A 16,211-nucleotide genomic window follows, 5' to 3' on the forward strand; every position below is an offset into this window, starting at 1 on the left:
TGAGGCAGGAGAATCGCTTGAACCTGGGAGGCAGAGATTGCAGTGAGCCGAGATCACACCATTGCACTCCAGCCTGGGCAACAGAGCGAGACTCCGTCTCAAAACAAAACAAAACAAAACAGAAGACAGCAACAACAAAGCCCAGATCTCTCTTTCCATTATAGCACTCCATGTCTTACTGGGCTGCTTATTTTCACATAGCAAACCAATAACGAAGATTCACTCTAAATAAAGCATATGCTGAATTGTTTTTCTACAGAAATGATCCATCCATGGGCTTCACTATGGCCAATGGAATGGTTATGACCAGACAAAGGAAAAGCTAACAAAGGAGAAGCAGCAGCTCCCTAGCCCTATCTAATCTACCACTTAATCTATGTTGTGGAGATACCAACCATGATCACTGAAGAGGAATCCTGCAGTAAAGAAGGGGTGATGTGGCTTTACGGCCTATCACTTTCAACTTATAAGTACTTAGCATCTACAACAAATTAGAGACTAAGGATCGTATGTAGGAATATCTGCCTAGACAAGTTAGATACATCATTTTCCGTACTATAATTTTATTAAAAATGAAATAAAAATGAACTTCTGCCATGCTCATATCCTAAAGCTTACCAATTGAAGCATAATAATTTTAAAGGCATTTATATAATTTCAATGTTTTTGAGGTAGCTTTATTGGGGGGAAAAAAATCAACATAACTTCATAATGAATTCCTAGCCCTGATTCTCAGAGTGTAAGTCCCCTTACCAATGATCTGAGCATACAAACAGGCAACATTTTGTAACACCTACCGCAACATAGTATGTTCAAAGACTTTTCCCCCCACTTTTTTTTTAACTATAGCTCTCAGATCCTACAAAACTTTTCTTAATGGGTCAGTCTTATTAAAAGTATTAAGAAATCACACAATTAAGTCCTCCCCACTCCACAAAACAACTTTATTGAGAAAGATAATATTATATGAAACTGGGACTAAGAATATGGTCGCCTAGGCAGTTGGGTGTGGTAGCTCATGCCTGTAATCCCAGCACTTTGGAAGGCCAAGGCAGACAGATCAATGTGGCCAAGGAGTTCAAGATCAGCCTGGGCAGCATATTGAGACCCTGTCTCTATCATAAATACATATATATAAATAAAAGAATATGATCACCTAACATGAGACCACTGCAACTTTTAAGTAGTATATAAACTCTAAGATGGTTTATTTTACTGGTTGGGGGCAATGGCTTTACCATGAGTTAACTTTTTTTTTTTTTTATTGTAGAGACCTTTTCTTCTCTCAATTCATGAGAAAGAAGGCACACACATAAATCAAGGATGCTGGCCGGGCACGGTGGCTCACACCTGTAATCTCAGCACTTTGGGAGGCCGACGTGAGTGGATCACCCGAGGTCAGGAGTTTGAGACAAGCCTGGCCAACGTGGCAAAACCCCGTCTCTACTAAAAATACAAAATTAGCCAGGCGCAGTGGTGCTTGTAATCCCAGCTACTCAGGAGGCTGAGGCAGGAAAATCGCTTGAACCCTGGAGGTGGAGGTTGCAGTGAGCTGAGATCATGCCATTGCACTCCAGCTTGGGTGACAAGAATGAAACTCTGTCTCAATTAAAAAAAAAAAAAAAAAAAAGATGCCCACTATCTCCACTTTTAACACTATTTGGAAACAGTGTTAGATGCAGAATGAGACAGAATAAAACAACTAGAAATTTAAGGACCAGAAATAAAACTAACTCTAGTTGCAGATAATATATCAAACCTGTAATTAGATATAATTAGATTATATATATAATTGCAGATGATATAATATAGTTTGATATCTGGTAGGGCCAGGTATTACAAAACCTCTATAATTGAAAGTATAAGGCTTTTCTGACACTTTTTCTCACTATGGTAAATAAAAGTTTTTTTAAAAAGAAGTATAAGGCTGGTTGGGTGTGCTGGCTCATACCTCTAATCCCAGCACTTTAGGAGGCCAAGATGCAAGGATCACCTGAGCCCAGGAGTTTGAAACCAGCCAGCCTGGCCAACACGGCGAAACCTCATCTCTACAAAAAATACAAAAATTAGCTGGGTGTAGTTGTATATACCTGTAGTCCCAGCTACTTGCGGACTGAGGTGGGAGGATCACTAGAGCCTGGGAGATGTAGGCTGCAGTGAGCTGCGATCGTGCAACTGCACTCTAGCCTGGGCAACAGAGGAAGACCCTCATGAATGGCTTGGTGCCCTTCCCATGAGATCTGGTTGTTTAAAAGAATACAGCACTTCCTCCCCTTTTTTTCTCTTGCTATGTGATGCAATGGCTCCCCCTTTGCCTTCCGCCATGATTGTAAGCTCCCTGAGGCCCTCAACAGGAACAGAGGCCAGTGCCATGCTTCCTGTACAGCCTGTAGAACCATGAGCCAAATAAAACTCTTTTCTTTATAAATTACCCAGTCTCAGGTATTCCTTTATGGCAAGGCAAACAGTCAGATTAACACACTATAATATCGTTGTCATACCTAAGAAAATTTTTTAAAAAATTTATATCATCTATTATGAAGTCTTATTTATTAGATTTATCCAACTTTCCCAAAATGTTTTTCATACCAAGTTCCAATCAAGGCTTATGTGTTGTCATTTGATGTAGGCCAGCATTTCTCAGCTGGGGACAGTTTTGCCCTCCAGGGGATATACGGCAATGTGTGAAGACATTTTAACTTGTTCCTTTACCCTTTGTATTAACCTATAAATAGGAAGTTAGGTTTAGAAGCTTTATTAGAGTCAAGTAAAACATTTTGAGTAAGAATTCTTCATATATGTCTTATATTCTTTATATTGCAACACATGAGAAGGCTAAGTTTGGCTACTTGGTTAAGGCAACTGAATGTCACGTCTATGGTATAATTTGTCCTTGGCAATTACCAGTACAGGGGGTGATCTCTGACATCTTGAATATCCTGTTACCCATGATGCTTTAGTATATCTATTGATGATCCTTACCTGAATCAGCTACAGGGTTGTAAAAGGGTGATTCTTCTAAGTATGTCATTCTTTTCTTCCTTTAATACTGGCATTCTTTGGTAAGAAAAAGGTCTTCCCTCATTCCCTTTTTAGTAGTAGTAAGGATTCATGAACTTTTATTTAGTCAATATATTAAAATAAATTTCAGTCACTATGTATGCTCCGAAATTGACCCACATTGTCTCCTTCAAATTGCTTTTTTGTAGAGACAGGGTCTCACTACGTTACCGAATCTGGTCTCAAACTCCTGGGCTCAAGTGAGCCTCCTGCCTCAGCCTCCCAAAGTGCTGGGATTACAGGTGTCAGCCACCATGACTGGCCTTTTTTTTTTTTTTTTTAATATTTGAATACTTTGCCAATAAAACTTTTTTTGGGGAAAAATCCTCAAACCCTGTAAAGAATAAGACATAAAATACAATAAGGTACTCCAGTTCTGACCCTGATATCACTTACCAATAGCTTATACAATTGAAGTTCCACAGCATGGCTATAGACTGACTGCATGTGTGTCCTCACAAAATTTGTGTGGTGAAGATCTAATACCCAATGTGATAGTATTTGGAGATGGGGCACTGAATGGGACTAGTGACCTTGTAAGACTAGAGAAGAGAGATGATTTTTCCTTGCCACATGAGGACACAGCAAGAAGATAACTGTATGTAAAACAGGAAGATGGACGCCCTCACCAGATACCAAATCAGCTGGCACCTTGACTCAAACTTTCCAGCCTCCAGAATTGTGAGAAACCTTTTTTTTTTTTTTTTTTTTTTTAAGAGAGGGAGTTTTTCTCTTGTCACCTAGGCTGGAGTACAATGGCGCGACCTCAGCTCACTGCAACCTCTGCCTCCAGGGTTCAAGTGATTCTCCTGCCTCAGCCTCCTGAGTAGCTGGGATTACAGACGCCTGCCACCATGCCTGGCTAATTTTTGTATTTTTAGTAGAGACGGGGTTTCACCATGTTGGCCAGGCTGGTCTCGAACTCCAGACCTCAGGTGATCCACCCGCCTCGGCCTCCCAAAGAATTTTTTTTTTGGCGTTGTTTAAGCCACCCAGATAATGGAATTCTTTTTTTACAGGATACGACCACAGAGTTATATGGCTGAAACCGTGCACTATTTTTCAAGACATGGGAAGAATGACTCCGGAGGCAAATCAGAGATCAAGAGGGTTGCCTCCTTGGTTTCAAAAAGGGAGACCATCATCTTGGGTTTCAGCATGAAGGAAACATTGATCTAGTTGCAACGTTCTATTTGGGCCCATGCCTAATCTTCCTACATATTCTGGTGCTCCTTGAACATTCAAGCTGATTGGGGGCATTCTACAGTCAGAATCCAACAACTGAATGGATATATGGAAAAAATATCCTCATCTATGGGGTAGTGCTTATTTGGAACAAAAACCTATTAAGTCAGCAACAGTATTTTAAAAGAATGTTAAATTTTATTTGATGAATCAATTTATCGCAAGACTGTTTCCCCTTTCCTCCCAGTTTTTTTTTTTTTTTTTTGAGACAGAGTTTTGCTCTTGTTGCCCAGGCTGGAGTGCAGTGGCACAATCTCGTCTCACTACAACCTCTGCCTCCCAGGTGCAAGCAATTCTCCTGCCTCAGCCTCCGGGGTAGCTGGGATTACAGGCATGCGCCACCACGCCCGGCTAATTTTTTGTATTTTTAGTAGAGACGGGGTTTCTCCATGCTGGTCAGGTTGGTCTCGAACTCCCAACCTTAGATGATCCGCCCGCCTTAGCCTCCCAAAGTGCAGGGATTACAGATGTAAGCCACTGCGCCCGGCCCCTCCCAGTTTTTGGTGTTAAAATGTCCTGGACATTTGGTGCAGGTCAAGATGTTATAAGCCCACTAGAGCCTATCTCCCTACTGATTATGCCCAAAAACCTGCGAAGTGAGGGAAGAAATCTGTTTTGTATTCTTTTTTTCTTTTTTGAGACGAAGTCTTGCTCTAGTCCCTCAGGATGGAGTGCAATGGTGCGATCTCGGCTCATTGCAACCTCCAACTCCCGGGTTCAAGCGATTCTCATGCCTCAGCCTCCCGAGTAGCTGAGATTACAGGCACCTGCCACCACGCCCGGCTAATTTTCGTATTTTTAGTAGAGACGGGTTTCACCATGTTGGCCAGGCTGGTCTATGAACTCCTGACCTCAGGTGATCCGCCTGCCTCGGCCTCTCAAAGTGCTGGGATTACAGGCATGAGCCACCGGGCCCAGCCTGTTTTGCAGTCTTTTAAAAGTTCCTAGCAATAGTAGCGGTAGAGTGGACACATAACACTCAATAAGAAAAGCTATTCTAGATAAACCAAGAAGAAGGGTACTGTGGAATATGAGGAAAATATTTTTTTCTCCCTTTGCATTTTACCACTTTATTATTGCCACTTTACCCCAAAGGCAGTTCCAGTTACATGGAACCATCTGGCAGTGCTGGCAGTAACAACTCTGAGAGGAGCTTGTCTTTCTAGCCATAAGGCAGATAAAAGATCTCCTTGGTAATGGAGATCATGGGGGAAACTGCAGAGCAGAAACAGCTAAAGAAGAGAATACCCTAAAATTCTGTGTTTGAACTGACCCAAGTTCCACGTTCACCTCTAACCTGTGCATGCATGGAACAGTCCCAAAACAATACAGCCATGGCTCTCTGAGAAATGAATTCTGTTTGGGATGCCAAGACAGGCGACTGCTTGAGCTCAGGAGTTCGAGACCAGCCTGGGCAACATGGTGAAACCTCACCTCTACTAAAAATACAAAAATTAGCCCCACGTGGTGGCGCATGCCTGTAATCCCAGCTACTTGGGTAGCTGAGGCAGGAGAATCGTCTGAACCCTGGAGGCAGAGGCTGCAGTGAGCAGAGATCACACCATTGCACTCTAGCCTGGGTGACACAGTAAGACACTGACTCAAAAAAAAAAAAAAGAAAGAAATGAATTCTGATATAAACCACCACTTTAGCCCCACAGTAACCTAAATGGTGCATGTGCTGTGCACAAAGCAAAGGCTTTGAAAAGTGAACTGACATCAGAACCACTAGCAACAAAAGGAGAGGCAGAACATGCCGGCTGAACCTAGCAGGATTGATTGCCTGCTGAAACAAAACAAAATCAAAGTTCTCCAGATTTTTATGAGGAAACAGATTCTCACATAATATTCAAAATGTCCAGGATGTAATCCAAAATTACTCAACACACAAAGAGCCAGAAATATGTGACCAATTTTCAAAGGAAAAGACAATCAGCAAATGGAAAATCTGAGATGATCCAGATGTTGAAATTATCAGACAAAGACTTCAAAGCAGTTATTATAACCATGTTCCATGGTGGGGTGGGAGAGGAAAGGGAACTCTCTTGAAACAAATGAACGTTTTTAGCAGAGAAACTGAAATGCTAATCAAGAGCCAAATACAAATTTTATAAATGAAAAATAGAAAATCTATATTCTATTTCTCAATAAATAAAATAAAAAATAGAAACATTTAAACAATCCAAATGAAGGCAGAAAACAGAAAGCAAAGGAAAAAAAACCGGAGGGAACAAACAGAAAACACATAATACAATGTCAGACCTAAATCCAATCATATCAGTCACTATATGATCTAAACAAACCAATTTAAAAAAGAAACACATTGAGATTGCTTTTTTTTTTTTTTTTTTTTTTGAGATGGAGTTCACTCCGTCGCCCAGGCTGCAATGCAGTGGTGCGATCTTGGCTCACTGCAACCTCCGCCTCCCAGGTCCAAGCAGTTCTCCTGCCTCAGCCTCCCAAAAGCTGGGACTACAGGTGAATGCCACCATGCCTGGCTAATTTTTGTATTTTTGGTAGAGACAGGGTTTCCCCATGTTGGCCAGGCTGGTCTCGAACTCCTGCCCTTAAGTGATCTGCCCGCCTTGGCCTCCTAAAGTGCTGAGATTACAGGTGTGAGCCACCACGCCCAGCCGAGATTGCTTTTTTTTTTTTTTTTTTTTTTTTTTTTTTGAGACAGAGTCTTGCTCTGTCACCCAGGCTGGAGTATAATGGCTTGATCTTGGCTCACTGCAACCTCTGCCTTCCAGATTCAAGCCATTCTCCCGTCTCAGCCTCCCAAGTAGCTGGGATTGCACCACCATTCCCTGCTAATTGTTGTATTTTCAGTAGAGATGGGGTTTCACCATGTTGGTCCGGCTGGTCTCAAACTCCTGACCCCATGATCCGCCTGCCTCAGCCTCCCAAAGTGCTGGGATTACAAGCATGAGCCACAGCATCCGGCCCAAGATTGCAGTTTTAAAGATTCGACTACATGCTATCTACAAGAAATCCCTGTAAGTATGTTAACATAGAGAAGGTAGAAGTAAAAGGATGATAACTAGCATTACAGGATGATAAATAGAATCATGCAAATACTAATCAAAAGAAAGTTTAAGTGGCTATACTATCATTAGACAAAGTAGACTTCAGAACCTAGGAACAGCTCCAGAGATAAATGATAACAGTAAAAAAGTCAATTCACCAAGAAGACATGGCAATATTAAGTATGTACCTAATAACAGACATCAAGCAGAAACTGAGAGAATTACAGAAGAAACAGGCCGGGTGCAGTGGCTCACACCTGTAATCCCAGCACTCTGGGAGACCGAGGTGGGAAGATCTCTTGAGCTTGGGAGGTCAAAATAAAACTATGATCACACCACTGCACTCCAACCTGAGCAACACTTTCTCAAATAAACAAACAAAAAACAACCACCACCACCAAAAACAAGAGGACTACAGTGGCTATATTTGTAAACAATAAAATAGACTTTAAGACAAACATTTTTACTAAAGATAAAAAGAGATGTTTTATAATTAAAGTGTCAATTCATCAGAAAGACATAACAAGTATATACAACAGAACCCCAGAATATATGAAGCAAGCACAGAATTGAAGGGAGATACAGTTCTACAAACAATACTTGGAAACCTCAATATCCTATTTTCAATAATGTATGAAACATATAGACAGAATAGTGATAAGCAAACTGGAGACTTGAACACTATAAACCAACTAGACTTAACTGACATAAAGAACATTCTACCCAAAAGGAGCAGAATACACATTCTTCTTAAAAACACATAGAAATTCTCCAGGATAGACTATATGTTAGACCACAAAACAAGTCTCAATAAACTTTAAAAGACTGAAATCATACAAAGTTATCTTCTATGATTACATGGAATAAAGCCAGAAATAAGGAAAACTGGAAAATTCACAAATATAAAAAAACTAATACACTCATACAATGAATGGACCAAAAAAGAAATTACAAGGAAAATGAGAAAATACAATGAGATGAATAGAAGTGAACACAAAACATACAAAAACTTATGAGATGCAGTGAAAGCAATGCTCAGAGGAAAATTCACAAATGTAAACAGTCACATTAAAAGGGAAGAAAGATCTCAATGAATAACCTAACTTCATGCCTCAAGGAACCAAAAAAGAACAGACAAAACCCAAAGGTAAAAGAACATAAAGACTACAGCGAGGCTGGATGGGGTGGCTCATGCCTATAATCTTAGCACTTTGGGAGGCCAAGGCGGGCAGATCATGGGGTCAGGAATTCGAGACCAGCCTGGGCAATATGGTGAAACCCCATCTCTACCAAAAATACAAAAATTAGCTGGGTGTGGCGGCACACCCCCGTAGTCCCAGCTACTCGGGAGGCTGAGGCAGAAGAATTGCTTGAACCCAGGAGGCGAAGGTTGCAGTGAGCCAAGATCGCACCACTGCATTCCAGCCTGGGCGACAGAGCGAGACTCCGTCTAAAAAAAAAAAAACAACCCACAAAAATTAGCCAGGCCTGATAACGCTTGCCTGTAATCCCAGACACTCAGATGGCAGAGGCATGAGAATCACTTAAACCTGGGAGGTAGAGGCTGCAGTGAGCTGAGAATGCACCACTGTATTCCAGCCTAGGTGACAGAGCAAGATCCTGTCTCAAAAAAAAAAAAAAATTAATTAAAAAGATTAGTTGGGTGTGGTGGCATGTGCCTGGAATCCCAGATACTCAGATGGCCGAGGCTGGAAGATCACTTGAGCCTGGGAGGTGGGGCTGCAGGGAGCCATGACTGCACCACTGCACTCCAGCCTGGGTCACGGAGAGAGGGCCTGTCTTGGGGGGGAAGAAAATTAGAGCAGAGATAAATAAAACAGAATAGAAAAACAGTAGAGATTCAACAAAATAGAAAGACTTTTAGCTAGACTAAGAAAAAATGAGAAGGCACAAATAACTAAAATTAGAAACAAAAGTGGGGCTACTATTACCAATCTTATAGAAATAGAATTAATAGTGGGGCCGGGTGCAGTGGCTCACACCTGTAATCCCAGCACTTTGGAAGGCCGAGGCGGGTGTATCAGTTGTGGTCAGGAGTTCGAGACCAACTTGGCCAACATGGTGAAACCCCATCTCTACTAAAAATACAAAAAATTAGCTGAGCGTGGTGGCATGTGCCTGTAATCCCAGCTACTCGGGAGGCTGAGGCAGGAGAATCGCTTGAACCCAGGAGGAGGAGGTTGCAGTGAGCCAAGATTGCACCACTGCACTCCAGCCTAGGTGACAGAGCAAGACTCCGTCTCATGAAAAAAAAAAAAAAAAAAAAAAAAAAGAACAGCAATCCTTCTCAATCTCTTCCAAAAAATAGAAAGAACACTTCCTAACTCATTCTATGAGGCCAACATTACCCTAATACTAAAGCCAGACAAAGACACCGCAAGAAAACTACAGAGCAATATCCCTTAAGATATACGCAAAACCCATGCACAGTGGTGCACACCCTCATAGCCCCAGATACTTGGGAGGCTGAGATGGGAAGATCACTAGTTTCAGCCCAGCCTGGTCAAAATAGCATATGCAAAAATCCTCAGCAAATTATTAATACCAGCAAACTAAATCTAAATGCATAAAGATTATATATCACAATTGAGATTTTTCTCAAAACTGCAAGGCCATAAGAAGATATGTAATATGTCACATTAATAGAATTAAGGGGGAACCCACGTGATCATCTCAATTAATGCAGAAAAACATCAGACAAAATGCTTTTTCATAAAACTGGAATAGAAGAAAACTTCCTCAACATAATAAATAGTCTTTATTGAAAACCTACATGTAATGTCATACTCAATGAAGAGACACTGAAAGGTTTCCCTTCTAAGATTAGGACGCCAAGGTGGGTTGATCATCTGAGGTCAGGAGTTCGAGACCAGCCTGGCAAACGTGGTGAAACCTCGTCTCTACTAAAAATACAAACATTAGCTGGGCGTGGTGGTGGGTGCCTGTAATCCCAGCTACTTGGGAGGCTGAGGCAGGAGAGTCACTTGAACCTGGTAGGCGGAGGTTGCAGTGAGCCGAGATAGCACCACTGCACTCCATGCAACCCAGCCTGGGTAATAAGAGCAAAACTCCATCTCAAAAAAATAAAATAAAATAAAATAAATTACATAGGCTCAAATCTTCCCATAAAATACTTATCATTTGCATTAGGAAAAATAGTTAACTTTACAGTGAAGAAAGTTGGCAGTTGCCCTACATGATCAAAGTTAACATCACCAATAATGGGAAAACAGACATTTTGTGACTCCTGATATGCTGCACTGAGGACACAATTTACTTCTGTAATATTCCTGTGTAATGAGGAATCTAAGCATTCAAATTTATAGACATGTATAAAATAACTGGCCTGTCCTCAAAATGCCAACATCATGAGAAGACAAAAAAGTCTTAGGAACTGTTTCAGAGCAAAGCAAACTAAGGGGATATAACTAAACAATGCATGATCCTGGATAACTTTGACTATTAATGGAGATAATAGTGAATTGTGAATAAGGCCTATACAGTAGATATTAGCATTATGTCAATATCCACCTTCCTGATTTTGATAATTATATTGTGCTCATGAAAGATAACATCCTTCCAGCCTGGACAACATGGTAAAACCCTGTGTCTACAAAAAAATAAAAAATTAGCCAGGCATGGTGGCATGCACCTGTAGTACCAGCTACTCAGGAGGCTGAGGTGGGTGGATCACCCGAGCTCAGGAAGGTCGAGGCTGCAGTGAGCTGTGATCGTACCACTGCACTCCAGCCTGGGTGACAGAGCGAGACCCTGTCTCAAAAAAAAAAAAAAAAAAAAAAAAAAGGAAAGAAAGTAAAAGGAAGAAAAAGGAAGAAAAGAAAGATAAAGTCCTTGTTCTTAGAAAATAGCCACTAAAGGCCGGGCACGGTAGCTCACGCCTGTAATCCCAGCACTTCGGGAGGCCGAGGCGGGCGGATCACGAGGTCAGGAAATCGAGCTCATCCTGGCTAACACGGTGAAACCCGTCTCTACTAAAAATACAAAAAAAAAAAATTGGCCGGGCGTGGTTGCAGGTGCCTGTAGTCCCAGCTACTCGGGAGGCTGAGGCAGGAGAATGGCCTGAACCCAGGAGGCCAGGCTTGCAGTGAGCCAAGATCACACCACTGCACTCCAGCCTGGGTGACAGTGAGCCTATCTCAAAAAAAAAAAAGAAAATAGCCACTAAAGTATTTAAAGATGGGTTCCTGTCAGAAATATAATCAAACAGTTCCACATACAGAAAAATCTATAGTGTCCAATCATATTCAATCCAAACAACACTGCCCCAAGACATTATAATCAAACTGTCCAAAAAAAAAAAAAAAAAAAAATCAGAGATAAAGAGAAGATCCTGAAAGCAGCATGAGAAAAGCAGCAAATAACATATAAGGGACTTCCAATATGGCTAGCAGCAGATTTCTCAGCAGAAACCTTCACACCCAGAGACAGTGGGTATGTTCAAAGTGCAATGAAAAAAAAAAAAAAATGGCAACCAAGAATACCATAACCAGCAAAGCTGTTCTTCAGAATGAAGGAAAGATAAAAGGGTTTCCTATACAAAAGCTGAGTGAGTTCTTCATTACCAGACCTGTCTTACAAGAAATGCTAAAGGTAATTCTTGAAGCTGAAAGAAAGGACGTCAATGAGAAACACAAAACATCTCAAAGTATAAAACTGGTGAAAGTAAAATTCAGAATACAGATGGTTCCTGAAGTATAGGGTATAACTGACTTTGCAAATAAAGATGTCGATTACCTGGGTAGGATGGAAAGGAAGATGAGGGAGATGACAATAATATCTGTTTCATAGGACTGTTATAAAGATTTAACGAGGTAATATTTCTCAAACAATTAGAACAGTACCTGTCACAAAGAAAACACATAAATGTACACTGAATTAGAAGAAGTAACTATTTCTCAAAGATCATAGAACTAAACAGTATAACAGGGATTCAAACCAACACTGACTCCAAAGTTCATGCTCTTAACCAGGACTATTCTGCCTCCTGGCTTTAAGAGTTACTTGAATAAATGTTTAACATGGATTTGGATTTTCACCTACCCTCCCAAAGTGAAACTGTATTATTAACCCATTTGAGAGGTTTTAAGGCTCCACAAGATTTCAAAGATGTGAACCCATACTTAGGATGGCACAGAAGTTGGCCTTTTTTTTTCCCCTCTGTGTCCCAGTGCTTGAGGATAGAATTGGCAGACAGGAAGCCAGCGGCACCAAAGACATGATGCCCAGGGGACTGAAGCCTTTTCCCTCTGCCTCCAGACATAATAGGGAACATACATACCTGCTCCCTGCAAAGAAAGCGAGGGTGGCATTGACCTTTAGTGACCAAACAAAATAATTCCTAGGCAGCATACATCAATTATCAAAAGCATATTGCTGCCTGTCCTGAGACCACGATCAAGGGAAGGGCTAATTGTTTCCTAAGAAATACACTAGGAGTACAAAGGACTCTTTCTTCAAGGTGGTCTCCCTCTTCTATCTGAAGTTTCCTCTGCTTGAGAAATTCTAATGTTAAGAGCCTGGCAAAAATGTGTATAAACATACTTCACTTGAAGTTGTACTCATTTGTCAAGTCCTTCTCCTTTAATGGGTTTTTGCAGTCAAAGCCCTCTTGCTTTCAAGAATGGACAAGAATCAAAAAGTAGGTTCAACAGAACCATAAAACATATTGGTATTTTGGCTTGTGCAAGATTTTGCTACGAAATCAATAAAACAGAACTGGGACTAACATGTTAAATTCTATCCAGTTATAAAGAAAAAGATATTTTGAAGCAAACAGAAAAAAACTACTAGAAACTGTATTCTCTTGGGGTTAGATTCATGGGTAAAGACAGAAGTATCTTAGATGTCACTTAATCTTTTGTTTTGTTTTTTGAGATAAGGTCTCATTCCATCACCCAGGCTGGAGTGTAGTGGCACCACCATAGCTCAGTGCAGACTCAAACTCCTGGGCTCAAGTGACCCTCCTGCCTCAGGATCCCAAAGTGCTGGGATTACAGGTGTGAGCCACTGTGCCTGGCCATTTACTATTTTTAAATTTTATCTATGACTACGATCATTACAAAATTCTAAGCTTTATTTTTAGCTTACTTAAGTGCAATGTTCAGAAAGAGAAAGAAATACTATATTCTTGCAAACTATGCTCATAAAAGCTTTGAGAAACTTGCCCATTATTAGCTGGGTATTCCTTTTGCTCTATACTGTATTTCCTCAAATTAAGTCCTGAGATATAAATCTCACAAATCAACTGACAAAATTGATATTGTCAATATCAACCCTATCAATTTTTTTTTTTTTTTGAGATGGAGTCTCACTCTGTTGCCAGGCTGTAGTGCAGTGGCGGGATCTCCACTCACTGCAACCTCCACCTCCTGGGTTCAAGCAATTCTCTTGCCTTGGCCTCCCAAGTACCTGGGATTACAGGCACGCGCCACCACGCCCAGCTAATTTTTGTATTTTTAGTACAGATGGGGTTTCACGTTTTTGGCCAGGATGGTCTCGATTTCTTGACTTCATGATCCTCCTGCCCTGGCCTCCCAAACTGCGGGGATTACAGGCACGAGCCACTGTGCACGGCCCCAACCCAATGAATTCTTAAATTTTTTTTATTTCTAATAAATTTACTCTGACATTCTTTTGAGGAATACATGGACAACTGACAATTGATTATGTTAGTTTACATGTTCCCTTGTTCTTATTACATCAAATGTTATCTATAAGAATGGTTTGCTTAGCAACCCTAGGAAAAAAAAAGTGTTCTCATTCTTTAGGTCTTACCCATGGTAAGGAGAGGGAGGATTAGACAACATCTACTGACCATATGGAAGTTTTGGATAATATAAGTTCAGAGATTCAGACCGGCTGAATCAAATTAAAATGTTTTAGATAATGGGAGGCAGGACACAGAGGCATTCAAACTAGCATTCCTTTTTTCTTTTTCTTTTGAGACAGAGTCTCGCTCTGTCGCCCAGGCTGGAGTGCAGTGGTGCAATCTCGGCTCACTACAACCTCTGCCTCCCGGGTTCAAGGGATTCTCCTGCCTCAGCCTCCCAAGTAGCTGGGATTACAGGTATCCGCCACCACGCCCGGTTAATTTTTGTATTTTTAGTAGAGATGGGGTTTCACCATGTTGGTCAGGCTGGTCTCGAACTCCTGACCTCTGATCCGCCAGCCTCGGCCTCCCAAAGTGTTGGGATTACAGGCGTGAGCCACTGCGCCCGGCCTCCATGTGGCTTTTCCTATGGTTGGGACGGGAAAAGCTACGGTTACAGTCCGGACACTGTAAAGGTTTGATTCCAGTATGTTTTCCTAAATGTCTTTTTAGTTCATCAGACCGAGCAAACGTCCATGTGCATCCTTCCCATGTACATTTGTAGGGTTTTTCTGTGTGTCGTCTTCTGTGTGCTTTCAAGTGGGAGCTTTTAGCGTACACTTTGTTGCATCCATCGTAATCACATCTGTGTATCCTCCACTTCGAGTATCCGGGGATTCCACAGGTAAAGGTCTCTTCCCAGGCTGCAAGATGACCAAAGGGTGATTCTCTTGCAACAATGCTTGTGGGGGGGAACACTGAGTTCATTAAGGGGGGGGTGACATTTCTTCAGGATAATCCGTCCTCTGTGGTTCAATCCCAGGTTCTATTTTAATTTTTTTCTCTGGTACAGGATTTTCTTATGATTCAATTACAGGTACTTGCATGCTACTACTGGAATTTTTCATCTCCTCCATGGAAGACCTCTTCCTCCTCCTCCTCCTCAAGGAGACCATGAGAGGCTCCTGGAGGTGACTCATGTACATAAAGGGGATGGGCTGCACCACCACCGGCTGGATGACCAGCAAGATCCCCAGGCTCCATATTCTGTGCCAGGAGAGGGCAGCTGCCATCATCTGCGGCATGGACAAGTGGCACGTCAAAAGGCTGCCAGCCTGGAGAAGGGGATGAGTATTTTCATTGGTGGGCTGGAAGAAGGCATGCTCAACCCAGGCGAGGCTCTCTGGTGTGAGGATAGGAACTTGAGAGAGGGGTGCAAATTCCCAGCAGAAGGAGGTGAACTCCGCTTGCTCACCATGAAGTCCACTGGCTCCATCTGTATTCCATGCCACAGGCCTTCTAGGGTCTGAAAGAACTCATCAGGCAATTGTGTGGAGTAGATGACCCCATACTTGTTGGGCTTCATGGATTCCATGTAATTAGATGAGTATGACACCGAGACAGGGTCCACGGGCCTCTTGCTTAACAGGAACTGGGTCAAACATGAGCATTCTTTTAAACCTTCTAGGGTGCTCTGGTGTTTGGCTTTGAGAGGTGTGGTTAGGGACGCCGCCCACGAGAAATAAAGGCCCAGATCCGGGCTGCCTGGAGGCCCCCAAGCGCAGTAATGTCAGGGTTCCGGGCGGCGTTGACGGCAGGGGACAAGGACGGGAGCGCATGCAGCAGGCGCTCTCCCTGCGTTCCGGCTGGGGCCCGGCTACACGAGGCTCCCCTCTGGCTCCTGGCACCAACTCCAGGCAGTCACATGATGCCGGCGCCGCTCGCTCAGCAAGTCCCCCGGGGCTGGCAGGGTAAGAAGAGGCTGGGACCCAGGGTGGGAGGGTCAGGGCTGAATTCTTAACTTTTAAGATAGATGGCAAGGGGCTGGGCGCAGTGGCTCACGCCTGCAATCCCACCACTTTGGGAGGCAGAGGCAGATGGATCACCTGAGGTCAGGAGTTCGAGACCAGCCTGGCCAACATGGTAAAACCCCATCTCTACTGAAAATACAAAAATTAGCCGGGCGTGGTGGCGGATACCTGTAATCCCAGCTACTTGGGAGGCTGAGGCAGGAGAATCGCTTGAACCCA

The 16,211-nt window shown here is 42.4% G+C and overlaps 1 protein-coding gene, 1 non-coding gene and 1 pseudogene across 5 annotated transcripts in view; all 3 read right to left on the minus strand.

The window, feature by feature from the left end:
• Positions 1-16,211, minus strand: part of UBTD2 (ubiquitin domain containing 2) — a 74,472-nt gene that overhangs the window by 30,158 nt on the left and 28,103 nt on the right. Inside the window, exon 2 of one of the 4 annotated variants that reach the window (XM_047417876.1) lies at positions 2,590-2,725. The exons of the other annotated variants lie outside the window; for them this stretch is intronic. The gene's annotated coding sequence lies outside the window, so the exon portion shown is untranslated. The remainder of the gene's footprint in view (positions 1-2,589; positions 2,726-16,211) is intronic. 4 annotated transcript variants of the gene reach the window in all.
• On the minus strand, positions 12,531-12,675 carry LOC124900201 (small nucleolar RNA SNORA57). Its single transcript, XR_007059150.1, has one exon. It is a non-coding gene; the product is annotated as a small nucleolar RNA SNORA57 (small nucleolar RNA).
• Positions 13,977-15,908, minus strand: KLF3P1 (KLF3 pseudogene 1; annotated as a pseudogene).

The sequence above is a fragment of the Homo sapiens genome, chromosome 5 (assembly GCF_000001405.40).
Source record: "Homo sapiens chromosome 5, GRCh38.p14 Primary Assembly".
NCBI classification, from domain to species: domain Eukaryota; kingdom Metazoa; phylum Chordata; class Mammalia; order Primates; family Hominidae; genus Homo; species Homo sapiens.